General features: G+C 42.2%; 1 protein-coding gene and 2 long non-coding RNA genes across 3 annotated transcripts, besides 4 other annotated features; 2 read left to right on the top strand and 1 right to left on the bottom strand.

Annotated features, from left to right (window-relative positions):
* Positions 1 to 2,139: 2,139 nt before the first annotated feature.
* SMCP (sperm mitochondria associated cysteine rich protein) lies at positions 2,140 to 8,865 on the bottom strand. The gene is made up of 2 exons (NM_030663.3): positions 8,741 to 8,865; positions 2,140 to 2,784 (listed from the first exon to the last, which is right to left on the bottom strand). Exon 2 carries the CDS (start codon positions 2,762 to 2,764, stop codon positions 2,414 to 2,416), a length of 351 nt encoding a protein of 116 aa, NP_109588.2. The 5' UTR covers positions 2,765 to 2,784; positions 8,741 to 8,865; the 3' UTR covers positions 2,140 to 2,413.
* Positions 2,976 to 3,105: an enhancer, noted in NCBI's record as "active region_1736". NCBI's record gives its function as "activates an Ori minimal core promoter by ATAC-STARR-seq in GM12878 lymphoblastoid cells {active_cell/tissue: GM12878}" and the evidence as "EXISTENCE:reporter gene assay evidence [ECO:0000049][PMID:35858748]".
* Positions 6,140 to 6,319: an enhancer, noted in NCBI's record as "active region_1735". NCBI's record gives its function as "activates an Ori minimal core promoter by ATAC-STARR-seq in GM12878 lymphoblastoid cells {active_cell/tissue: GM12878}" and the evidence as "EXISTENCE:reporter gene assay evidence [ECO:0000049][PMID:35858748]".
* Positions 6,680 to 6,739: an enhancer, noted in NCBI's record as "active region_1734". NCBI's record gives its function as "activates an Ori minimal core promoter by ATAC-STARR-seq in GM12878 lymphoblastoid cells {active_cell/tissue: GM12878}" and the evidence as "EXISTENCE:reporter gene assay evidence [ECO:0000049][PMID:35858748]".
* Positions 6,870 to 6,949: an enhancer, noted in NCBI's record as "active region_1733". NCBI's record gives its function as "activates an Ori minimal core promoter by ATAC-STARR-seq in GM12878 lymphoblastoid cells {active_cell/tissue: GM12878}" and the evidence as "EXISTENCE:reporter gene assay evidence [ECO:0000049][PMID:35858748]".
* A 5,826-nt stretch (positions 8,866 to 14,691) lies between the features above and the next one.
* On the top strand, positions 14,692 to 17,857 carry LOC105371445 (uncharacterized). Its single transcript, XR_922150.1, has 4 exons — positions 14,692 to 14,859; positions 14,983 to 15,116; positions 15,514 to 16,193; positions 17,794 to 17,857. It is a non-coding gene; the product is annotated as an uncharacterized LOC105371445 (long non-coding RNA).
* Positions 17,858 to 18,983: 1,126 nt separating this feature from the next.
* LOC105371444 (uncharacterized) lies at positions 18,984 to 25,620 on the top strand. The gene is made up of 3 exons (XR_922149.2): positions 18,984 to 19,377; positions 23,727 to 23,839; positions 25,256 to 25,620. It is a non-coding gene; the product is annotated as an uncharacterized LOC105371444 (long non-coding RNA).
* The last annotated feature ends 18 nt before the right edge of the window (positions 25,621 to 25,638 follow it).

The raw sequence follows: 25,638 nt of genomic DNA, 5'->3' as shown, positions 1-25,638 counted from the left end.
AGTGGCAGAGGAGGGACTTGACTTGATGCCAGGGCTCCCCACGGAGGGTGGCCAACCCAGAGAGCTGCGTGGAGACTCAGGAAGAGGACAGGGAGTGGGACTGGGGTGGGGCAAGGGGCAGGGATGAAGGTTGGAGTCTCCAGGCTGGGCAGGGTCTTCCCACCATTCCTGCAGACCCATAGCCTTGCCTTTCACAGAGGGTTGGGTAATTACCACTGGCTTCCCCAGACCCCAGCAAGGGAAAGGCGGGTGAGTCAGCTCATCTCGGCTGTCCTTGCACAGGGTGCAGATCCCAAAGCCCAGCTCTACCAAGATCTTGCTCAGCCGCATTGGGCCTGGGGATGGTGGTGAGGCCCAGTGTAGCAGGACTCTCACTGGCTTCCACCGATGAGTTGGGGGGCGATGCCAAATTGGAGGCTGGTGCCATGGGAGGGTGGAGGTCTCGCCTTGGAACCGCAGTAGTCCCTGGAGCATGACAGCCAGTGGAGGCTCCCAGGGTGGAGAGCAGGGCACCCACCACCCAGGCTGTGAAGAGTAGCAACCCTCCAACTACTGCAGCAACCACGAATCCCCCAGGACCAGCTGGATGGGGCACGAGGAAGCCTTCAGGAGCCCAAGATCTCAAGATTTCTCCCATCTGGCCAGATTCTTGGAATGACCTGAACTTGCAGGTCGCTAGCTACTTCAAGAAACTCCTAAAATCGTGCTGCATCACTTCTCCTGAAAGTTTACATGCAAGGAATGGGGTTTTGCCCTTTGCAGTGTGGGAATACAAAATAACTCAGAGTTGCCATGACCCAGAATAGAAATAGAGTGGCCCATTTTAGATGCTTCGTGAAAATCTGTTTACATTTTGAAATCTGAACCTTAGCATTCACAAAAACTTTGGAGAGATGGCTGCCTGCCCACCTAGAGGGAAAAATAAACTACTTCCAACATAACTTTTGTAAGACTATGAAATTCTTCCAATTTCTCCCACAAACTAAACAAAGTGCAGGAATATTTTGTGTGCCACCGCTGCATTGTTGCTAGGGAATCTCTATTTTGAAATTCCAAGTAATTGAAAATGACTTTCATAGACCCTAGATGGTACCAAAATAGAAACTGCAGTTTTGAGCTTCTTCTTATATGCAGTGTTTAGTGGGTAGGGGAAGACCTGCTTTGAAATAATAAACTCTCAGCATAAAAAAACAAACCTACTGTGTGATTACATAAAATTCTTGAAAACACTAATTTGAAGGGACAAAAGTAGACCAGTAGTTTTCTGGGGATTGGTGGACAGGGAGAAGTATGAGAGAGAGAGTACAGAAGTGCACTCGAAAAATTTTAAAAGTGATATGTTAATTACACATCAAAAAGCAGTAAAAATGGAAGTTTACAAGTGTGCTTAATGAGGCTGATTTCTCTATTTCTACCTGTCTACCTGGACTAGTGGGGGTGTGCTTGGGGACAAATTATTGGAGAATGATGTCTTCTTTAGAGGGAAATAGGGCCTTGTGGCTGAGAGGAGTTTGAAAACTATGCACACTGAATAGCCACTCGGTGTCAGACCCTATGTCGGGCACTTTAAATGAATTATCCCTTTTAATTCTCATAAAAAAATCTTTGAGGGAAGTACCATTGTCTTCATTTTACACACGAGGAAATAGAGTGTCAGAAACACTGAACCACTTGCTTTAAGATTGCTACTCTGTGACTGAGGAGCCAGTGCTGATCCTGGAAGATTTCACTCTTTGCCGCTAGCCACTGTGCTTTGCTGAGTCCTGGGGACTCTACCTCCATCTAAAATTTCTGGATGCGGGGGTGGAATCACTCCAAGGGACTTACATATTTTTGCTTGGTCTGGAGTGCAATGTGGTACCCAGGGACCCAGAGGAATTAGGATTCTTGCACTTTGAGTGACCAATAATCTTTTTTTTTTTTTAATAAGGACTGAAGGGGTTCCTGGAATGCAGGACTTTCATTTTAAAACCAAGATGAGTCAGTCAACTACACTCCAGCTCAGCAGAGGTTTTGTTCTTCAGGATGCTAGTTCTTGCTCCTTGGACCTCCAGGACATGCCCATAATATTTTCTTGGGCTCTAGGCCAGGCTGGTGAGATGGTTTCACAAGTAAGTAAAGGAACAAACGGAGGCAATGTTCTTTTTATTGCTCTTTATTTCTGTGCTGTCTAAATGTCAGGATCACTAGGAAAGATGATTCTAGCCTCTTCATCCTCCCATTTCCAGATGGAGGCCTCCCTAGGGTAGGGAGCTATGATGGGAAATAGGAGCCTCTCATTGGGTGGAAATGGTAGTCACTGTGAAAACTGCTTCTCTAAACACAGGTCTAGCCTGACTCTCAGTAATCCCCCACCCTACAAAGTGAAAGGCATGGCCCCAGGGACTTCTTCTTTGTTTGACTTCTTCTGCTCTCATTTGCTTGGCCTGGACTCATTTTGTGGGCTATGGGGCTGCTGCTGGGTTTGACAGCCCTTGTCCTGAGTTTGCGGTGAGTTGGGCTCAGACTCCATGTTAAGGGGTGAGACTTCAGGCTTGGTCTCCAAACCACAGCACCTGGCCTGAATGCAGCATGGGGGTTTTGGCTGGCAGCAGTGATTGTGTTTTGGTGGGCAGCATTGACTGCCTTTTGGCTGGCAGCACTGGTTCTGTTTTGGTGGGCAGCATTGATTGCCTTTTGACTGGCAGCACTGGTTCTGCTGTGGTGGGCAGCATTGATTGCCTTTTGCTGGGCAGCATTTACTGTGTTTTGTCTGGTCACACATCTTCTGAACACTTGGAGGTACTAGAAAAAGAAAATAATATTCTCATCAGAAGGAAATCTGGGTGCCTGCTTTCATTTCCTCCTTTCTTGACACCCAAATACATCCATCTTCAGGATAATGACTCAGACCAGGGTTGAGAAAGCAGAGCTGGATCCCTCAGAGAGGCCAGCCAGCCCCATAATTCTACCTTTGCATATGCCAGTGTGTTTGTTCCTTACTAGGTAGTCATTTGTCAGATAAAGAATCAAAAGACCAGAATATGTAAGCAATGTGAATAAGGTCCCTTAGCTAATGAGCAAACAGTTTGACCCTCAGTCTCCAGATCCTGAGTCAAGTGTCAGGCACTTCACAAACATCAGCTAATGTTATAACGGCTACCAGCCTGAGGTAGACATTTTTAGTCCACTTCACTTCATATGAGGACCACTGAAGTTCAAAAATCCACCTCAGTTGCTTGTAAGTGATTCAAGCCAAGCTCTATCCCACTCCAGAGCATGTGCTTGTTCTTGTCTCTAATGTGGCACCCATGGACCCAGGTGCAATGAAACTCTTGCACTTAGAGTGACCAACTGTCACACGCTTCCTGAATGCATCATTTTGTCCCATGCACGGAGCACTGTGGTGGTTACAGCAAGATGAAATGAAAAGTACAGTGCTCTTGGCATGGCAGGACTTGAGTTCCAGGCCTGGTTCTGCAACTCCCAAGCCTAAGGGATTGTGCAGTTCTCTTCATCTCTCTGGGCTTGTACCTCTTCCTCTATAAAGGGGCAGTGGTGGGGGTGAGGAAGGGGGAACTGGACCTGGTAGGTGTCCTCAAACTCAACCACTCAGCAGTTTTATCATTTCCTGATTCTTCCAGGTATAGAGAAAATCCAAACAACTCTTGCTTTACTTCTATCTACCCATCTTCCTCCTCCCAGGAAGTCCAAGCTCTTCTGGGAACGTCCCTGGGCCTCAGCCCAGGTATGCAGCCCCTGGAGAAGCCCCTAATGGTTTCCGCCCTGGTCCCTCCTATGGCACATGATGAGAGGATGAACGCCACTGTTGTGGTCCCAGAGCAGAATAGAGGGTCTAGAAGTGGCCAGGAAACAGCAGACAGTGAGCAGGTTGTTATCTAGCCTCCTCAAGGAAATGTAGAAGCACGGGAAATGAGCCTGTACCCCCTCTGTGGACTCAGCTCACAAAGCCACAAACCCATGTCAGGGAGGTGCCAGGCCTGTCAGAGCCCTGTCACTGGTAGGGTAGGATGGGTGTGGGATTTGGAGTGACAACTGCTGAGGTGAGGTGGCAACCACCTTCCAGCCTCTGGCATCCTTGGGATTGTGAGAAAAGCCTCTGGCCCAAATTAGTGGTTCTTTGTTTTTGTTTTTGTTTTTTTGAGATGGAGCTTCGCTCTTGTCACCCAGGCTGGAGTGCAATGGTGCGATCTCAGCTCACTGCAACCTCTGCCTCCCAGGTTCAAGCGATTCTCCTGCCTCGGCCTCCGGAGTACCTGAGATTACAGATGCCTACCACCACGCCCAGCAAATTTTTGTATTTTTAGTAGAGATGGGGTTTTGCCATGTTAGCCAGGCTGGTCTCGAACTCCTGACCTCTGGTGATCTGACCACCTCAGCCTCTCAAAGTGCTGGGATTACAGGCGTGAGCCAATGTCCCAGCCCCCAAACTTGTTTTTTAAACTGAGCCAGTTACTGCTGTGGGCTTTCCACTAAGCACACACATGCCCATATCTCTGTGAGAGTGTGTGTGTGTGTGTGTGTGTGCACCTAAGTGCATGTAGGCATGTGTCCATGCATAATTATAGGTACATGGAGAGAAGAACTTGAGGTTTGTGATGATGGCTGTTTAACAAATTGAGATTGCTTGAACTTTCTCATGAGTCTTTACAGTTAGAGCCAGTGTGAATAGCTCCTAGTAGGGGCCAGCCTCTGTCCTGGCCTTCTCTCTCCTGCTGGGTGCTCCCTACTTGCCCTCTATCCTATCCTGACCTGCTGTCAGGCTGCTTCCCCACAGCCCTGCTCCAAACACTCTCCCTGATGTTTAGAAAGCCACATCTCTTGTCTTGTCCTCTTCTTTTGTGTCCTGTAGATAAAGGGACTCCTGGGGACAGTAGCTACAAATCTCTCCTCACATTAAAGTCTTTCTGGGGGAGGGCCGGACACAGTGGCTCACGTCTGTAATCCCAGCACTTTGGGAGGTCGAGGCAGGTGGATCACCTGAGGTCGGGGGTTCAGAACCAGCCTGGCCAACATGGTGAAACCCTGTCTCTACAAAAAATAGAAAAATGGGCATGGTGGCAGGTGCCTGTAATCCCAGATACTTGGGAGACTGAGGCAGGAGAATCGCTTGAACCCAGGAGGTGGAGGTTACAGTGAGCTGAGATCGTGCCATTGCACTCCAGCCTTGGCAAGAAGAGCAAAACTCCATCTCAAAAAATAAAATAAAGTAAAATAAAATAAAATAAAATAATTTCTGGGGGTTACCCCATGATATGGTTTGGCTCTGTGTATGTACCTCACAAAATCTGATGGTTTTATAAGCATCTGACATTTCCCCTGTTCTTACTTCTCTCTCCCACCACTATGTGAAGAAGGTCCTTCCCCTTTGCCTTCTGCCATGATTGTGTTTCCTGAGGCCTTCTCAGACATGTGGAACTGTGAATCGATTAAACTTCTTTCCTTTATAAATTATCCAGTCTTGGGTAGTATCTTTTTTTTTTTTTTTTTTTGAGACGGAGTCTCGCTCTGTCGCCCAGGCCGGACTGCGGACTGCAGTGGCGCAATCTCGGCTCACTGCAAGCTCCGCTTCCCGGGTTCACGCCATTCTCCTGCCTCAGCCTCCCGAGTAGCTGGGACTACAGGCGCCCGCCACCACGCCCGGCTAATTTTTTGTATTTTTAGTAGAGACGGGGTTTCACCTTGTTAGCCAGGATGGTCTCGATCTCCTGACCTCATGATCCACCCGCCTCGGCCTCCCAAAGTGCTGGGATTACAGGCGTGAGCCACCGCGCCCGGCCGGGTAGTATCTTTATAGCAGTGTGGAAATGGACTAATCCACCCCAGTAGGACAAAAATCTGTATCATCCTCTCCTGAAGGTGTGCAGGATTCTCCAGTCAGGTGGTTGCTAAAGGACGCCTGTTAGATGACCTACTTTGCTATCTGAATCACCCTTGTGACTTTATAGAAGACCCAGGGCTGTGGCTATCCTGAATGATGGGTGACATGCTCTTAGACTCAACCCTTTTTTATCTGGGGATTCACCTAAATCCAGTTCATAGTGTACAAACTGGGTCCCATTGAGCCAGGTGTGGCCGACAGCGCCACCCACTAGAAACAGTAACTTTCAGACTCACACGTTGGACCCAGCCCCAGCGCAGACTCTCTTCACTTTCACTTTCTGAACCATTGGAGCCTCATCTCAGGGTTTCTCTGTGGGAAGGAGGGGAGCACAGTGCTACCTCTTATAAGGACCCCTATGTTTGAATCTCCTGAACTACAGCATTAGGGTGAGAGAAGATTGGGAGGGAAGAGTTATCTCTTAAGGCCCTGCCACCTGGTATAAACCTTTCATGATCCTAAGTCCCTGGCTATATGGCTGCAGCCTGAACTGGGTCAAGGGCAGTTCCCACCTAAAAAGGGGAGAGTGACTTGGGTTAGGATGTTGGCTTTAATTCAGTCATGACTCTATCTCTGCCAGTTATTCCTGGATTCATCCTATCTTTCAGGAAAAGGCCCCTGCTTCCATTTAAGAGGAAGACACTAGAGCAAAGACTCCTAAAGGATGGGGGTGGGGACAAGTCACCCTATTGCTCCTTCTAGGTCAGAGGAAGCTGCAAAGAGGCTGAGGTGGCAGATACAGGCCCTGCGATGCCTTGACTTGCCCGAGAGAGAACAGGAAGGAGAGAGGTGAGCAATGGAGAGGCACACCAAAAATGGAAATAAGACGGAGACAGACCAGTATAAAAATAGGGAAGAGGTGAGAGAGTACAGGGCCATGTTCTCTACCACCTTTGCAGTGTTCAAAGCTGTTTGACAGGAAGTGTGTGTGTGTGTCCACACGCACACACAAGCACACACTTGGGTGCCCCTGCAGCTGTACAGTGGTGAATTTGGGTGTGCCGGGGTATGCAGGGAGCCCAGTATCTGTCCGTATCTCCTTGTTGTTTGAATCTGCTCCCTTAGAGGTCAGACCTAAGACTAGGTTTTGAGAGGGACGAGGGAGGAGTGAGCCCCTTCTGTTTTTATTTTCTGTTGTTCCTCTCTGTGTTTATTTTTGCCTTTTGCTATTTTTTTTTCCTCTCTGCCTCTCTATCATTCTCTGGTCTTCATTCTGTCTCTACCTTTCTGTCTTTTGTCTCTGGTTTACCTTTCTCTACTCTGAAGGTCAGTGCCCTGAATTGACCAAAGTGCAGAGTCTCATCACCACTTGGAAGTCCAGTTTGTTAGTGTCCATCTTTACAAGTCCAGACTGAGCTGTTTCTACAGAAGCAATTCTCATTCCAGTGATCAGAGGTGCAGAGGCATCAGAGGCACCTGGAGCCCAGGTCCAGGGGCTTGCCTCACCAGTCCCACCAATGTCCCCACTCCAAGCATGTCCCCCATAGTGAGATCCTGGGAATAGGTCCTGAATGTGGAGGTTGTGCAATATCAGAGAAGGACAGCAGGTTGGAAACCAGTCTTGTTGACTGTAGCATAGGGAGGGCAACATCAAGTCCTTCTGCAACCTCACCCCCATGGATGCAGGTCCTGCCCCTCTGAGCCAGTGCTGTCTCCACTGTCTTCCTTCTGCCTGGTGAATAGTATCTATATCCTCCACTTTCAGAACCCTGGCTCCTGTCCAACAAACCTGCCTCCTGGACCCCTCTGCCTCCTGCAAGAGTTTCTTCTTAAGATTCTCTCCTTGGCCGGGCACAATGGCTCACACCTGTTGTCCCAGCGCTTTGGGAGGCTGGGACGGGTGAATCACTTGAGGTCAGGAGTTTGAGACCAGCCTGGCCAACATGGCAAAACTCCATCTCTACTGAAAATACAAAAATTAGCTGGGTGTGGTGGCGTGCACCTGTAATACCAGCTACTTGGGAAGCTGAGGCAGGAGAATCACTTGAATCCGGGAGGTAGAAGTTACAGTGAGCCGAGACCTCACCACTGCACTCCAGCCTGGGTGACAGAGTGAGACTCCATCTCAATAAATAAATAAAAAGAAACAAACAAATAAATAAATATTCTCTCCAAGCTCCATTTCCCTTCCTTCCCAACCATGCTGTGCACAGCCTGCCTCAGGAAATCTGCCTAATCATGTCAAACACTTGTGGTGCAAGGCCAGGGCCATCTTCCTAGCTCTTATTGCTCTATTCAGAGAGGATTGATACAGAGCCCAAACCACCAGGAGGGCTCTGGCAAGGCACCTTCTCCCTCTGCCCACAGGCCCAGCCTCATGTCCAAACACTGTTCCCTCAGGCACCAGACTGGCTCAGAGCAGACACCTGCTGAATTTTCTCACCTCTTTCCAGGTCTTTGAATGTGCTCTTTCCCAGCTTAAACCACCCTTCCTGGGTCTCTGTCCCCACATGCTCACTGAATATCGTTCAAACCTGAAGTCTCTGCTTACACATCACTCCTCGAGGAAAACTTCCTTAACCCAAAACCTCCATCTCCCTGAAAGGCTTTCTTGGATCCCCTGTACTTCCCATTACATTTTTATAGTGGTTATTATTTTCCCAATTGTCTCACTTTTGTGGTCTGTTAGTTCCATAAACACAGGCATTCTCACTATCCCCACCCCCAGTGGCTCCCATGTCTTCCTCTTAAATAGAAGCAGGAGCTTTTTCCTGAAAGATAGGATGAATCCTGGAATCCTCTCATCCAACACACTGAATGGCATTGCATGGGTCTCAGTAGGTAAATACGTAATGAACTAATGAACACATGAAAAAGCCATGGAGAGAGGACCCAAAAGACAATGTTTCTCTGTGTTACCTGGTCTGGCCACACACACAATTCACAATTTCCATGCTTGACTTCTCATGACTGATTCCAGTAGGTATTATTGATCTTCCTCAGCAGCCTAGTGAGTCCATGACTATCAGAAGCCAAAGCCTTCTGAACCAGATGGGTTCCCTTCCCTGCTAATGCCAAGATTCTAAGCCTCTATGACACCATAATTCTCTCCACAAGACTCTATGCCTAGCTCACTCACTGGCGCCCCCTGCCTGCTGGAGAGTCTGTCTCTTTGGTTTCTTTCCTGAAAGATAAAAAGAAAGCTCCCTAGCTAACCCATAAGCATGCAATAACCTAAAACACAAATCTGTATTGATTGTCTCCTATCTACCAGGCTCTGTCCTAAAAAGTGAAGTGTAGCTCAATGGGATGTAGTTCCCATTCTCAAAGATCTAATTCAATATGGAGGCAAGTCAATAGCCAACAATACCATGTGATAATAATGATGGTAGGATAAGCACAGGGGTCAGGTTTGGGGGTCAGATATGCTTCCTGGAGGGAGTGATATTTAAGCTGAGACTTGGAAATTGGAAATAGGAAGTTGGACATAGGGGTGTGTCTGGGAGGACATTTTCAGATCCAGAAATGTGAAAGTATAGGCTATTTGGTGGAAAAGCTCAGTGTGGCTGGAGCAGAGTGGGGAGTAAGGAGAAGGGGGAGATTCACCTACCTAGGTAGGTAAGGCTGTGTTGGTGAGGACCTTTATGCCATAAGAAAAAGAGTTTGGACTTTATCCTGAGGACAATGGGAACCACTGAAAGGTTTTAAACAGGGGAGAAACTGGGATGCCTTAGGGGCCAGGACCCTATTTTATTCACTTTGATATTCCCAGTGTCTGGCTGAGCAATTGGCACATAAAAGATTCTGAAACTGAATCAATTGAATAGTGAATTGACTAAAATAATGATAAGAGAGAAGCATTTCATTATGTTTACTCTTTCCTTTTCTTCCTGTAGCATGGCCTCTTTGAGGACAGTGACTAGGAAATTCTGTTCTTCTGGGAAGCATGCCTGCCATAAACATTTGTAGGACACCAGGCAAGAGCACAAACAGAGGCTTCTGACCCCTGTGGTTCACCCCTGGTTCTCTTCCTACTCCCTGGCTTCATCTTGTGTCACGAGGGACCTCGGGCGTGCATGAGTGTAAATATCCTAGTCCATACCGTCCATGTTCTTTTCATACATGGATCTCTCAAACTGCCCCTCTCTTGGTCATTGAGACCTAGAAGTGAGCACAGTATTGGCTGTTTGAGTCTTCAAGAGGATAGACACATAAAGGTGATCTCAGGGCCAGTTGACAGAGATTTCTGGGGTCCTGGATAGCTGGAGTGAGAGAGACAGCAGCTCTGGGCCTGTACCCTGGACCTATTGAATCATCCTATGGGGGTGGGTCATGGCTGGAGGAGAGCCAGAGAAGGACTCTTTAAAGTCTGAAGTCCAGGACAGAACCACCTCGGCCAAAGGGTAGCACTCTTGGGAAGTATGTGAATTGTGCTTTTCATTCTATAATAGCCTATTCAAGTATTTCTCTTTTACTTGTCTTCTTCAGGTCTTCATGCTTATAGTTATCTCTAAAATTTATTCTCAGTAAAATGTCTACTCTTATTCACATCTCCCAAAGTCTCTAACATTGTAGTTGGGACCAAAGCCTTAATCTATAAGAATTAAGTTCTTTCTAGGAAGAGTACGGAGAGGGAGAGAGAGGTAGAGTGAGAGAGAGAGGTGGAAATGGCCAACAAATCTATGAAGAAATGCTTATTCATAACTAAAGGAATGCAAACCAGAAGATCAATGAGACACTGGCTTTTCTATGACAGTCTGGCAACAAATATGAAATTTTGATCACATTAGTTGTTAATGAATATGTTGAGAAACAGGTATTTTCATATTCTGTTAATGAGATTTCATTTTACAATCATGTAATAGGATAGTATATAGCTAATAAAAACAGAGTCCAGTTGTAGATGATGCTATGAAAAATTCTCCCAACTATGTAATCAAAGAAAGCAATCCAGTAAACAATATGTTAGTATATTCCTTTTCTTATAAAAAGAATGTATATACGGAGATATATACAAAATAAGATAAACATATATGTTAGTATACATAAATATTTTCCTAGAAGAATCAAATACACACAAACTATTTGAATTTTTAACCATGATGCATATTAGTTTGTTAAAATTAAGCTAATGAAGGCTATCTAGAAGGTGAGGATAGATATACTTTCTGCTCACCATTTAAATTCTATTTCCAACACAATGTATGGAACATCCTAGGTACTAAATCCACATTTAGTAAATAAATACATGGAAGAATAATTTAGCCAGTACATTAACTTGGAACTCTTTGTGTTCCTGTTCTTCTGCCTGGCTACTTCCTGCTGGAGTCCTTGGTTCTCTTTTCTTCTCCATCAATACTCATTTTCTTGGTTAGAACATTCAGTCTCCTGACCATGAAGGCCATCTATATGTCATTGATGATGGTGTCTACTTTGTTAATAACAGCTGAGAAATCTCTCCGGAACTTCAGACTTTCATATTCAACTGCTTATTTATTTAGTATTCTCACATGGATATCTAATAGACATCTCATATTTAATGTGCTCACAACTGAGCTATTGATATTTTCCTGAAAACATCCTCTACCCCTAGACATCTCAGCCCAGAAGATGCTAACTCTATTCTTCCATTTGCTCAAGCTAAAGACTTTTGAGTCCTCCTTGGCTTCTGTCTTGTATAACTCACACTCAGTTAATATCAGTAAATTCTGTTAACTTCAAAATGAATCCATCTGTAACTGTGGCCAACCTACTCTGAGACACCATGATTTCTTGCTGACTTTTCTAATCAGCTTTTAACTGGTATCTCTGCTCTATTCTTGGTCCTCTATTGTCTGTTTTCAGCAGAGCAGTTGGGGTGGACTTTAAAACATAAGTCATATCATGTAATTCTCCTGCTCAAAAACCTGAAGTGGCTTTCCATGCCTTGCTGGGTAAATTGAAGTCCTCACAATAGCCCACAAGGCCCTGCATTATTGACCCCCAACTCCACACACACCTTGGACCTCATCTCCTACTGTTCTTCCTGTCACTTGCTCTGCTGCAGCCACACTCACCTCCTTGCTGTTCCTGCAGCAGGCCAGGTGTGTGCACATGTGTACATGCATACGAATGCACAAGCATGCCACTAAGGGCCTTTTGTTTGTATTTCAAGTCTTTGCTTAAATATCAATTTCTCGGTGAGGTACACACTGATTTTCCTAATTAAAATGACAATCTTCCACACTTGCCCTCACTCCAGTCACCTTTACACAGTCCTATTTTGTTTTCCTTTGGTAGTACTTTTCACATACAATATAATATAAGTATAATATAAAGACCAGTATCTCATAGCACTAAAATGAGCTAATTTTTATTTATTATAGTTTTATGTATTGTCTTCTCTCATTAGAATGTCATTGCCAAAAAGGCAAATGTTGTTTACTGATATATCTCAGGCTCTCAGTCAGAATAGTTCCTAATACATAGTAAATACTCAAAAATATTAGTTAAATGCATGAATGGTGATTGTTGGTCTTTTTTTCTTAAATCAAACTTTTTCTGCCAATAACTCCCAACTTGCTTGTCCAAATTGGGGAACTCATTTTTTAAGGCTGTTTTCAATGCATCATCCAAACTAGCAGAATGTGTCCCGCGGCAGCCACACTCCTACCTCCTTATGTTTTTCTGCCTCTGTTATCAAAAGTGGGGAAGACTATTACCATCTTTCTTTGCTGCATGGGCTATGTTAATTGATGGTGAGAAAAGTTGAGGCCAGTTTGCAGGAATTTGCTAATGTAATGATGTGATTACATCCAGTAACGGAGCGGAGCGAGTCCTTATGGTGCTGTCTTCCTGGGTTCCAGCATTTGAGGCTCTGCTTCCTGCAGGTCTCCTTTAATGCAATTTTTTTTGTCCTTTTTTTTTTTTTTGAGACAGGGTCTCACCCTGTTGCCCAGGTTGTAGTGCAGTGGTGTGATCTTGCCTCACTGCAGCCTTGACCTCCTGGGCTCAAGTGATCCTTCCACCTCAGTCTCCCAAGTAGCTGGGACTACAGGTGCGTGCCACTACACCTGGCTAATTTTTGTATCTTTTGTAGAGATGGGATTTTGCCACATTGCCCAGGCTGGTCTTGAACTTCTGAGCTCAAGAGATCCTCCTGCCTCAGCTTCCCAAACTGCTGGGATTATAGGCATGCACCACGGAGCATGGCCCATCTCCTTTAATATTATTAATAGTGATCATTATCACACATTCACTTGGGCCTAAAATCAGAAGTTACAAAGGATACACAGTGAAATCCCCAACTTGAAACTCCAATTACTTCAGTTCACAGAGATCAATTTCTGAAATATCCTTTCAGGGTTATTTTATGCACAAAAAACCCCACACAAACATGTATATTTTTTCTTCTTTTAATGAAATAAGAGTAACTCCACATCATTTTGCTCATTGCTTTTTTCACAACAGCATCTGTTGGAGAGCATTCCACTTCAGTGCATTAAGACTTTCTCTCTTTGTTTCCCAGTCTGGATAATAACCTATGTATATATAGCAGTTCCCAATTTTGGCTCTTGCAAACAATGCTGCAGTGAACACATTATTTATACATCATTCCTCAGGAGATAGAATATATTTATTTAAGTGCAATTGCTGACTCAGAGGCTAAATACTTTTGTAATTTGATCAGTATTTCCAGTTTCTTCCATATGAGTTTCACTGATTTATTTCACTCCCTACAATGTATAAGACTGCATTTTTTTCCCCACAAACTCATCAAAATGATGTATTTTTAAACTAATTGTTCTTGGCCCATCTGGTAGGTTAAAAATGGGATCTCAAAGTAGTTTTGAGTTGCTCTTAGTAACTAAGCTCAACTATATTTTATTACATTTAGTGAACCACAACATTCATTTTCTGGGAACTGCCTGATGACATAACTTACCTAATACTTAATTGTATTCTTGATGACTTTATTATTGATTTGTAGCACTTATATAATATTGGAGAAATTAAGTTATTTTTGTGCTATGAGAAACTAAATTTCTTCCTCTGTGTTTTTTGACCTTTGACTTTGTTATATTTCAGCCATATAGAAAATGATAATTATGTAAACACGTTTTAAAATTTTTTTATTTTCTAGTTCTTGTTTGTTGTATTATAATTATAAAAGTGATCCCCATTTTGAAAGTGTAGAAGAATACCCCCAGATTTTCTTAAGAGTTAACTTTTAATGTTTTAACCCTTAAATAACTCATCCTAGTATAAGATGAGAGTTTTTATTTTCTTAATGGCTTCCCAGTTGTAGCAACATCATTTATTAACTGATCTTTTTTCACAGATTTGAGGGTGTGCTTATCATGTACTAGCTTCTTCTGTATATTTTTTCCCAGCTCTGAACTTATCATGCTCTATTGATCTGTCTGTATATTCATGGTCCAGTACAAACTGTCTAACTATAATAGCTTTATAATATGTTATACATCTAGTCGAACTAGCTCCTACACATGAATTTTATTTTTAAGAATTGTCCTGGATATTTTTATATTTATTCATTTGTGTGTATTATTTTAATGTGGTTTTGTTGAACTGTAACATACATGCATCGAGAATACAGCCCAATGCATTTCAGCCAATGCATTTAAACAAAGTAAAACATCTGTGTGACTACCACCTAAGCCAGGAAATAGAATGACAACCCTCTGCACAACTTCTCCACCACAGAGTTCTAGGAACTGAATTAGCAAGGGTAGCACTGGCAAAGTTAGAGCTATCTCTGGCAATAAAAGCAGAAAGGCTCTGAAGTTGAGCTTTCTCTTGGTCAGGTTTTAGTGAACTTCTACAAAGGGGTGCACGTTGTCTCTTTGTCAGACTCAGACCCTCCTTCCATTTATGGTCTGGTTGTCCCTGCATCTGCTTGGCTTTTGCCCACTGAAGTGAATATGATTCATCTCCAATGCTTCCAGAAGTGCTACCTTGCTTCCCACATCTGTCGCGGTCCCTTCCCATGGGCCTTAGACCTGAGGAACACTTGTTTTCCCGGGTGCTGTCTCTTCAGGGTAAGGATTTAAAATCAGAGATTGTGTCTCTGCTGAGGCACCTTTGTGTTCATTATGGGCAATTGCAACATTCTCAATATTGTAAGAAGACTGACCTGACTAACAAACTTTGCTGTTTTACAGAACTGTCACTGAATAATCTAAGGAAAAACAAAGGTGCTTGCTTTCAGGCAAGCCTCCTGGCTGCTCTCCTTGCCTGCTCTGATTGCTGTCCCTAAGTCGTGCATATATTCTCGAGCCATCCCTGGGCCCATCTAGTGAGTTATTTACCTCTGGGGCTAGTCGCCACCAAGATCCGAACAAGCACAGGGCCATCTCGGGTCCTCAATATTCTGAACAATCTGTAAATAATTTCTGAATTTGCATTAGCTTCTTGTGGTCTGTAAAAAGCCTGAAATAGAGTAGCTAGGTGACCAGCAGTACTTCCTGTGTCCCACCAGGTGAACTGGAACCAAAATTAAAGCTGCGGGCTTCAACTAAGCCCTAAACTGTCCTCCTTTGGGATCTGGGAGTAGGTCCTCCCTGCCATGCTTCTGCTTTCAAGAGGTTGAAGTATCACAGCCTTTTCCTAACTACACTCTACATCTTGGATCCCAACTTCAATTAGAAATAACTATTCCTGGAGGTAACTGTGGTCCTCTTTTTTCTCCTCAGGCATGATCAAGGTGATCAATATAAGAATACCCATCAAGGTGATAAGTATAAGAATCTTCAGGTAATTCCTGACTGCACATCGCTGCTGCAGTCTGGGTGAAGGCTTGGCTTTGCTGCCTCCTGGTGGAAAACACAGCCATCCGTAACAGTCCTGAAGCATGAGCAATGACTCCTCTTTAGTTGATTTATCTTACATATGAATTCCAAAAGTCTCCATGGTACTGTGTATGTGCGAGTGAGTGTGTGTGTGTGTGTGTGCGCGCGCGCGAGATAATCAGCGTGTCAGTTACCAATTTATTATCTCTCAGCTCCAAACACACCCTTCGATTTGTGCTCTGGGACAAACAATGTAATCCCTCGAATCCTTTCTCCATTAAAGTGAGAACAATGCTAAACTTTCTCCATAGGGGGCGCTGGAGGGACACTGCAGTTGGAAGAGGCAGGTAGTGGGGAGTGTGTGGCAGTCCGGTGGTGCCCGCCACAAGGGCCCAGAACGAGATCCCTCTGCCTCCTTGCAGCCTTGGTGTGAGGATGACCTTTTCACAGCCTTCTCATCCTGAAACCAAAGCCCCTCCATGGCCTCAGCTGCCCATATCAGCTGTATGGAGGTGGGGGAGGGGCAGTCCACACAGAGCTGCGGCCCCCTTTGCAAGCCTGCTTGCTGCCCATGTACTCTGAAGGTAAGCCTGGACTCCCACTGCATATCCAAGCCACATGGTTCCCAATGTCGGCCTTGCCCTGCATTGGGAAGGTGACCTATTGTTTGCCCCCTATTGGAGGGTTTAACTCCAGACCCACCCCATCTAGCTAAGCCAGAGCACTTCTCTGCTGACTGGTAGCTAAACCGCACTTTTCCCAATAGGTAAGAGCCCCTTCTACTTTTGTCCTTCTTTGGGTACCCTCCCTGAGCTTTTTTCTTATGTCTTATAGTTTAGTCTTTCTTTTATTAATTGTTACTAATTCTTATATTAAATTCCCTCTGTCTAACTTACTCCATCACTTCTGTCTCCTGATTTGACTTGCTGCTACAGTGGAATAACTTAGACTCAAAGCTTAGTTCTATAATTTACCAGCTCTGCGTCTTTGAACACATTTCTTAACTTCAGATTCTTGGTCTATAAAAAGAGGATGGACACAGTACTTTTCTACGCAGTCGGTGTGAGGATTAAATGAGATAGAACACATTAAGCTCCTCGAAGAGTGCTGGTACAGAGTTTGCCAGCAGTTACATAGGACCAATTCGGGACAGAGACAGAAAGAAAGGGAGGAAAGATAAACGGTCAGAAAAGAAAAATAAGCCAAGAAAATGCCAGAGAGAACAAAAGGTAGCAAGAAATGTGAACATAGACACATGAAGCAAAATCCAAGAAATCGATAGGCAATAAGATTAATAAGATTATTAGGCAAGAGATTCATCGGTCTTCTAATTTATTGAAAATAAACATTTTATACAGTACTTTACAACTTAGGAAAAAATTCAAATATATTACCTTATTTAACCTTCAAAATAGATCAACTTAGTGTCTCTTGTCTTTGTTGATGTTGTTTCCATTTTCAAATGTCTAAGATGAGGCTCGTAGAGGTGTTCCAAGCCACACTGCTGGCTTGTAGATTGGAGGGCCTCATCTCCCCGTGGATCCTGTGGTCTTCCCGCGATTGCCCTCTTGTGGTCTGGTGTGTAACAACACCTCATACTATGCAAACCATGTTGTTGGCCCCAAGCCCTGCAGAGGGTTTAGCTCTAGTAATTGTTGCTCTGTTTTCATTTAAGCCAACTTTGGTCCCCAAAGAAGACTCTGCATGACACGGGAAGGTGTCCACCATGACTCAAAGTAGTATTTCTAATTATCGTCCCAACTTTTAAAATTTTCTTTTTTTGTTTTCTGTTATATTGTACTTAAAATTTATATAGTAATATGTGCAGATAATTCATTAATAAATAAAAGTATACACATTGCTTACTAATAGAGGCTTGAATAACATTGCTCTAGAACTACATTTCCCAAAGTTATTTGAACACAATATATGTCATATTTTAAATTTAATAATGAAATAATACATTTAACTTTGTTCGAGAAATACAGATAACGGCCCCTTTGTATTATGGTTGAGAAAAAAATGCAAAGGTCTCACAAATTTATTTTCTCAGTAACACATCAAAGCAGAATACATGTGTGTAGTAAAGTTAATCATATTTACTAACGTTGAATAGTATCTCAAGTATATGCTGATATTGAAAAATAAGATAAATTGCATTGATGAGTTTTTCCCTTCCATTAGACACTATACATCAAGGCAAGGATGAACCAGAAACTCTGCATGCGAATTCATGCCCAAGTTACAGGTGATGTATTCCCAGGTCAGATAATTTGTCAGTGACTTTCTGGCCTTCTCTGATTAGGCATGTTGTTTTCTTAAATGCAGATTGTATGCTAAGAATAAAATTAGTATGTGTTATTTTTATCACAATGATGCTTATATTGTTTACAACATTTGTGAAGATAATTATCACTTGTAATTATTATTTTCACAGAACACCTATTAACAAAGCATGGAATCTCTAATAGTCTCTGAGAGCCTTCAAATACTTTAACAACTGCAACCATTTGTCTAATAGCAACTTACATTGAGACCACTATACATAAAACAGATAAGAGCTTATTTATTTATTTAAATTTATCTTTTACATTAAAATTTATATCAATTAGTTAATTAAGAAAAATTGGGTTATTTTGATGAACATACAAAACTCAATTCATGAAATGCAGATGATAGTTGTAGTATTATTAATTAGTCTCTGCATCCACTGTTTTTCTGTATTTTTTCTTTCTGGTTGGGCAGTACTGGTAAAATAATAGTTACTTTGCACATGGTCCTTGGGGCCTTTGCTTGGAGCTGTCCGGATTGTGCAGTCCACAACTCAGGGAGCACCAGTCACAGCACCAGCTGTTAGACAGTTGTCAGGATTTGTTTCTTGCTTTGTTTTGGTTTTCAACAGCTTACTTTACAATTTTGGCATATTTTTCTATTAGATTAACCTCAATATTTGAAAAAATAGTTATAAAGGATTTGGAGACAATCAGCAGAAATGTCTAAGAACTGTTCACATTCCTTGACTGAAAAGTGTTTAATGACAAAATAATTTTTAAAAAACAACTATGTCAGATAATGTAAGTGTTGAATAGAGAACTATTTGATATGCTATGACTTGACAAGATATATGACATTATATAAAGCAATGTAATGTATTACTGGCACATCTATAATGTGAGACAATCCTTGATGCTATTCTTAACATTTTAAGATTCCTCAGTCCTTGACTGGAACCTTTTAAAAGCAATCCAGCCACAGCCAGTAGGAATGGAGGTGGTGAGGAATGGGAGTGGGGGTGGGAGTGGACAGGACTCTGTTCATCCTCCTGGGTCCTCCTCAGCACTCACAGCCTGCTCTCTCATTCTGCCTTGATGACACTCAGCACTAACTGGTCATGCCCTCTGCCTGTTTGTCTCAGTCACCAGCAGAAGCTCAGGACTCCCAAATTGCCTGCCATCACCAGGATTCCTCCCTTCCCCATAGGTCTGCACAATCCCCAATGGGACTCCATCTTCCATCCTTCTCCAGCACCCTAAACTCCCCACAAGCCCTCAAGACTCAAGGCTGCACATCGAAAAAATGTGCTGTATCAACCAACTCTTCTCACAAAGCCACCTCCACCTTCTTGTCCTAAGTGAAACCTGAGTTCCGCGTAGTCCTCTCATGGTCTGGCCATTTTCTTCTTGCCCATGCCTTTGTACTCATTGGGCCAAGGAATGGGCTAGGCATCCATTACACCAACCACTGCTTCTCTTCATTGCAAATCCCCAGGTAAGTATCTGGCACCCTGTTCACTGTTGCTCAATCCAAGACTTTCTGTCATGGTCTTTGGTGATTTTAATATTCACAAAAATGATTCATTTAATAATTTACTTCACAATTCTTTGACCTCTGCACCTCTCACTGGTTTGTCTTTCATCCTAACGTTCATCTACTCCCATGTCATACCAGCCTAGACCAGTCATTATTATTAACAACTACAACCCTTCTGTAAAATGAGTTTCAAATAGTCCATTTCCCAAACCTAACCTCCTGTATTTCCAACTTACTTGCTCTGGTATCCCACTCTGAGAAGTTTTTCAATACGCTGGAAACTACAATTCATTGATACCACAATGTTTTATCTGGCCAATATCTCCTTCATGTCTTCATTTCTCTTCTTACCCAGTATAAGCTCCACAAACTATCATTAAAATCATGTGCTTGCATAATCCATGTCTCTCTTGCCCCTCTGTCTCTCTCCCCGAATTTCCAACATTTCCATCACTCTTCTCCCTTTCAATGACGAGCATACTTATTATGTTACTGAGAAAACAGAAGCAGTTATAAGAGAACATCCATATAGTCTTGTCTACTCACCTACCTTTCTACTGTGGTCCCTCTTGCTACCATGTGTAACCTGTCCATGCTCCTATCTGGGGACAACCCTCCATTGGTGACCTGGATTCCATCCCTCTCATCTACCCAAGAGTATCATACCAGCAATTTTCCCCTCTCCATCCTTCATAATTGTTTTTCCTCTCTATACTGGATTGTTTCATCAGCACACAAAACATCGTATTTTCCATCTAAAAAATACTTATAATGCTCATCTTAAAAAAAATCGGTGTCTGTCTCTCTCTCCTTTTCTCTCTCCCTAGGTCTCACAACCACTTCAAGTCAACACTCAATTATCTATTTTTTTAAAGCATTATATTCCTCAAAAGTTTTTTTTAAATTATTGGTACTCCTTGTCTCCAATCCTGCTTTAAACCTCATCAGTCAAGCTTTTGTCCCACCAGTTTGCCTAAAATGCTCTTGTCAAGGTCACTGTTGATCTGCTTTTTGCGAGATATAATGGATGTGATTGACACCACCAGCAGCACGTGACTGGCATAATCACTACCTCTTTCTTGCAGTACTTTCTTCACCTGACTGCTCGGCCCCTATTCCCTTGTAGATAGATGGCCTCCTTCCTCACTGATCACTACCCCCCACCCAACTTTCTTTTATGGTTACTTCTCATATCTTTGATTTCCAAATATTGGAGTGTCCCAGGGTTGAGTCATTGTATATCCTGTCTTCTCTATCTGTATTTCCTCTCTAGGTGATATCATCCTGTCTCAAACATATGCTGATAATTCTCAAACTTCTCTCTCCAGACTTAAGTATCCAAGTTTGTCTCTTAAAGTTCCTACTTGGACAGGAAATAGGTATCTCACATATAAAACAAAACTTCCCTCCTGCCTCAAAAAACACTCATTACTCCTAAAGTCTTCATCTCTTAAAATGCAACTGTATCCTTCCCATTGCCCAGATGAAAGCAATCCTTGAGTCCTCTTTTTCTTATAGACCCATACATCCTGTTGCTTCAGTCTTCAAAATATATCTAGAATCTGAAATTTTCTTCCACCACAAATTCCCTGGTCCCAGCCACCATTAGCTCTTGCCTTGACTATTGTGGTGGCCTCCTATGTGGTTACCCTGGTCTGCACTTAACTTCTAGTCTTTCCTCAACAAAGCAGAAGGGGAGGTAGCCAAAGGTGGGTTAACAGATGCAAAGCAGACCTCGATAAGAGGAGTAAATTCCAGTGTTCTAGCACTATAGGGTGACTATAATTCATAATTCCCTGTATATTTTAAATAGCTAGAAGAGGATTTTGAATGTTTCCAACACAAGGAAATGATAAATGTTTGAGGTGATGGATATGCTAATTACCCTGATTTGATCATTACACATTGTATACATGTATTAAATTATTACACTGTACCTCATACATAGGTGAAATTATTATGTGTCAATTAAAAATAATAAAAGTGAAAAACCCATAGCTTAGGTAGTGGCATACCCCTGCTCCAAACCCTCCAATGCATACCCATGTCATCCATAGTAAAAGCCCAAATCCCATAAGGTCCTCATAGATTGAATCCAACTTATCCTTGTAATCCAGGCAGCCACTCCCTCCTTCCAGGCACACTGACCTCTTTGCTGTGCCTCCGAAGCATCTTGCACAATCCTGACTGAGTTTTGTGTTCCTGGTGCTCTCTGCCTAACAGTGCTCTTTCTCCAGATATCCATGTGATTTGCTTCTTCACTTCCTACGAAAGAATACTTGATCTCATAAGCCTTCCCTAACCACCCTGTATAAACAAGCAGGCCTGCACCCATACTGTCTGTTCCCCCAGCCTTTCTTTATTTCTTTTCCATACTATTTAGTACCATGTAATATGTTATATATTTAGCCATTGTGTAGTTATTGTCTGCTGCCTCCATGAAACTAAACTCCATGACAGTAGGAACTGTTTTTGTTTATAGCCATATCCTCAGCTCTCAGATCAATGCCTAGGCCATAAAAAGCGCTTGATAAACAATTATTTAATGAATTAATAGTGATTAAGTGTTTCAGAAAGCTGAATTTATTTTCGGTGTTGAGTCAGTTTTCATTTGATTGTTTACACTTTATCTGCTGCTTTAAGTATATTGACCTTGCAATATTGCACATGACAAGCTTTTTCAGTTTATTAAACAAATCAGCAAAAATTTCCAGCTGTTGTAACTATGATATGTTTATGAGATATTTATCAACATAATGATGTTTATCAACAAAAAATGGTTATTTCTTATCTCATTTGAAATATCTTTGCCAGGACATTGTCCCTTATTGCCAGTGACCAGGACTTATCCCATGTCTTCGCATTTCATACAAATAACACTGAAAAGCTGAAAATTTAAAGCCAATTTTTATGAAGGGCTTTGTCAGACATCATTTTGCAATATATCTGCAGCTTCTTAAATTCATTTGTTTTTCATGCAACACACAATTACTTAAGCACACTTTAGCAATAATGTCTATATAAAACATAGTTTCTACAATTTTTCTTGTCATTGCTTTTGCAATGTCAGTATAAACATCCCATTGTGCTGATTTATTCAATAATATGCTAAAAAGCTGATCTCAATATTTAAAGTTTTCTTCTGTTGCACATGTGTCAGTCATCTTTCCATTGACTTGCTTAACCATATTGTACAAAAATAAGCAAAATGGAAATATTCTCAATAGGCATACTCCTGTTCAGTTTTATTATAAATATTTCATGATCTCAACCTTAGAATAATTCATGAAGTGAGGTTGTTGTCATGCTGCAGTCTTTCTGAAGTTCTTTATCAGCAAATGCTCCTAACTGTACTTCTAAATCAGCTGGTCATCGAACATCCTTCTTGCAGTACCAATACCATGTCATTTTTAACAGGCTTTTTTTCTAGTAGTAGTGTCATGTGTTACTTAAGGACAGGGATACATTTTGAGAAATGCATCTTTAGGTGATTTCGTCATTGTGTGAACATCATAAAGCATAGTTCCACAAACCTAGATGGTGTAGTCTACTACACACCTAGGCTGTATGGTCTGGCTTGTTGTTCATGGGCTATAAACCTGTACAGCATGTTACTATACTGAATACTTTAGGCAGTAGTAACACAATGGTAAGTATTTTTGTATCTAAACATAGAAAAGGTATAGTAAATATATCTACAGTACATATAGTATATATATACACTATATATAAATTATATATACAGGGAATATATATATAGTATATATAAAAATTATATATATACAGTATATATATATAGTTTGTATATACACCAGTGTATTTACAGGAAAATATAGTATAAAAGATACAAATGGTACACTTGTATAGGGCACTTACCATGAATGGAGCTTGCAGGACTAGAGGTTGCTCTACGTGAGTTAGTGAGTGAGTGGAGGGTGAATGTGACAGCCGAGGAAATTACACTACTGCAGACTTTAAAGACACTATACAGTTAGGGGACACTAAATTTATACAAAATCTATTTCTTCAATGATAAATTAATCTTTGTTTACTATAACTTTTTAACTTTATAAACTTTTTTTTAACTTTTTTACTTTTTTGTAATAGCAGCTTAAAACACATATTGTACAACTGTACAAAAATATTGTCTTTCTTATATCCTTATTCTGTAAAGTTTTCTTCCTAATTAAAAAATTAAACTTTTTTGTTAACAACTAAGACCCAAGCACACACACTAGCCTAGTCCTACACAGGTCAGGATAATCAGTATCACTGTATTTCACTTCCACATCTTGTCCCACTGGAAGGTCTTCAGGGACAATAACATGCATGGAGCTGCCATCTATGACAACAGTGCCTTCCTTCTTCTGGATATCTCCTGAAGGACCTGCCTAAGGCTGTCTTACAGTTAACTTTTTATGTAAGTAGGGGAGTATACTCTAAAATAATGATAAAAATCCAGTGAATACATAAAAACCAACAACATAGCCATTTATTATCATTATCAAGAATTATGTACTATACATAATTATATGTGCTATACCTTTATGCAACTGAGAGCCAGGTAGGTTTTTTTGCACCAGCATCACCACAAACACATGAGTAATGCCTTGCACTATGATATTACCATGTCACTAGGGGATAGCTGTTAAAATAATTTATCATGAGACATTGGTGCACCTGGACTTATCTGGTATTGTATTTAATGCAATGAGCTGTAATACAATTTCGTGTGAATAAAATTTTACATAACTAGATGTATAAATGGTGGATTCTGTACACAGTCACACTCTTTGTAATATTGGGATTTTTGAGAGGGTTAATTAATCATATGTCTTTCCTTCCCAAACTCTTAAACAATTGAGAAAGAGAATGGTTTAAGACAGAGAGTTTATAAATCAGAGCTTTGGCAAATGTAACTTGTACCACTGCCAAGATGAACTTCATAATATTTATTTCAAAGTCTAAACCTTGGAGCCTGCATTGGGATAGAACTTGGTCCACAGAGAGACATCCTTCCAGCAACCAGAGTGAGCACAGTAGAAAAGCAGAGACAAAGGAAGGCAGAACTCTTGCCATTTCACCTCTCAGACAACTCACTTGCTCTCCATTGGAAAGGAGTGAATGTGAGATGGAAGATATTATTTTAAAGATGAGGCTACAATATGGATAAAAATAACATTTCCCCTTAAATCAATAACTATGATTAAAAAGTTAAAAATACACACAAAGACGTTACACAATTTTTACTCTGCAATCTACTATTTAGATCAGCTAATAGTAAACTAGTTAGACTAACAGCCCAGATGAACATGGAGAGCTGGGTGCTCTCCCAGGTGTTATCATTGTCACCTGTTATTTAACATTTTGAACAGGCATTCTGAATATTCTCCAATGTGTCAACACACATAAACACACACATATACATACAAATAGAAATCTCAAGAACCCCTGAAGAACCTCTCTGGAACCCTACTGTTCCTTTTGTCAGAGGCTGGAAAACACTAGAAGTCCTCCTCCTTGGACTGAGCATAGGGATGTCAAGGACGGTGATGAAATCTGCCTTCATTCTTACCCTCAGAACTCCCAGTGCCCTGGATGCCCTGGGACAGCCATGACCTTTAGTAAATGATTTTGGGCCAAGGGACAGCCTGGAACAGTCTCTCTTCTGCTAGGACATACTTAGTGGGTGGCATTCAAGTGTGTGACACTCCTCTGCCTGAAACCAGATGTTTTGACAGCATAGCCATGGTTTAGTTATTCTAAGCTGTGGATATGTGCAGTTTCTGGGGTACTGACCATAACCCTATTTCTTTGTCTCCCACTGACCTGATAGGCACCGTGTGTCTCAAGATTGTGGCTAAGAGCCATAGCCCTGGAGGATGTACAGAAGCATTGCTGTGGCTTATGACCCATGGCCACTGTTGGGTCAGGAAGGACATTGCTTTAAGAGCAGGCCCTACACCTATGCCATTTGGCTGGTTGAATAGATGAGGGAAAAATCTGAAAAGGGTAGATAGCAACACCAAGGCCAGAAGTCTCCTGGGTATTGTGCTGATTGGACCACGTACAAGTTCCTCCCTCATCCTGGCTTCTGTGTGAAGACATGGAGCAAAAGACTCAGTTGAGTGAATATGCTCAAGCAGAGTATTTCTCATGGCTTCTGAAACTGAGATCTGAGAGGTACAAGCACTGCTGTACCATCTCCTTCCTGAGCAT

Source organism: Homo sapiens, chromosome 1 (assembly GCF_000001405.40).
Source record: "Homo sapiens chromosome 1, GRCh38.p14 Primary Assembly".
Classification (NCBI taxonomy): domain Eukaryota; kingdom Metazoa; phylum Chordata; class Mammalia; order Primates; family Hominidae; genus Homo; species Homo sapiens.
The sequence above is the reverse complement of the archived record's forward strand: the minus strand, read 5'-3'. Positions and strand labels throughout refer to the sequence as shown.

Excerpts from the sequence above, each read along its gene's own strand:
- SMCP (NM_030663.3), bottom strand. The coding sequence starts at position 2,764 with ATGTGTGACCAGACAAAACACAGTAAATGCTGCCCAGCAAAAGGCAAT.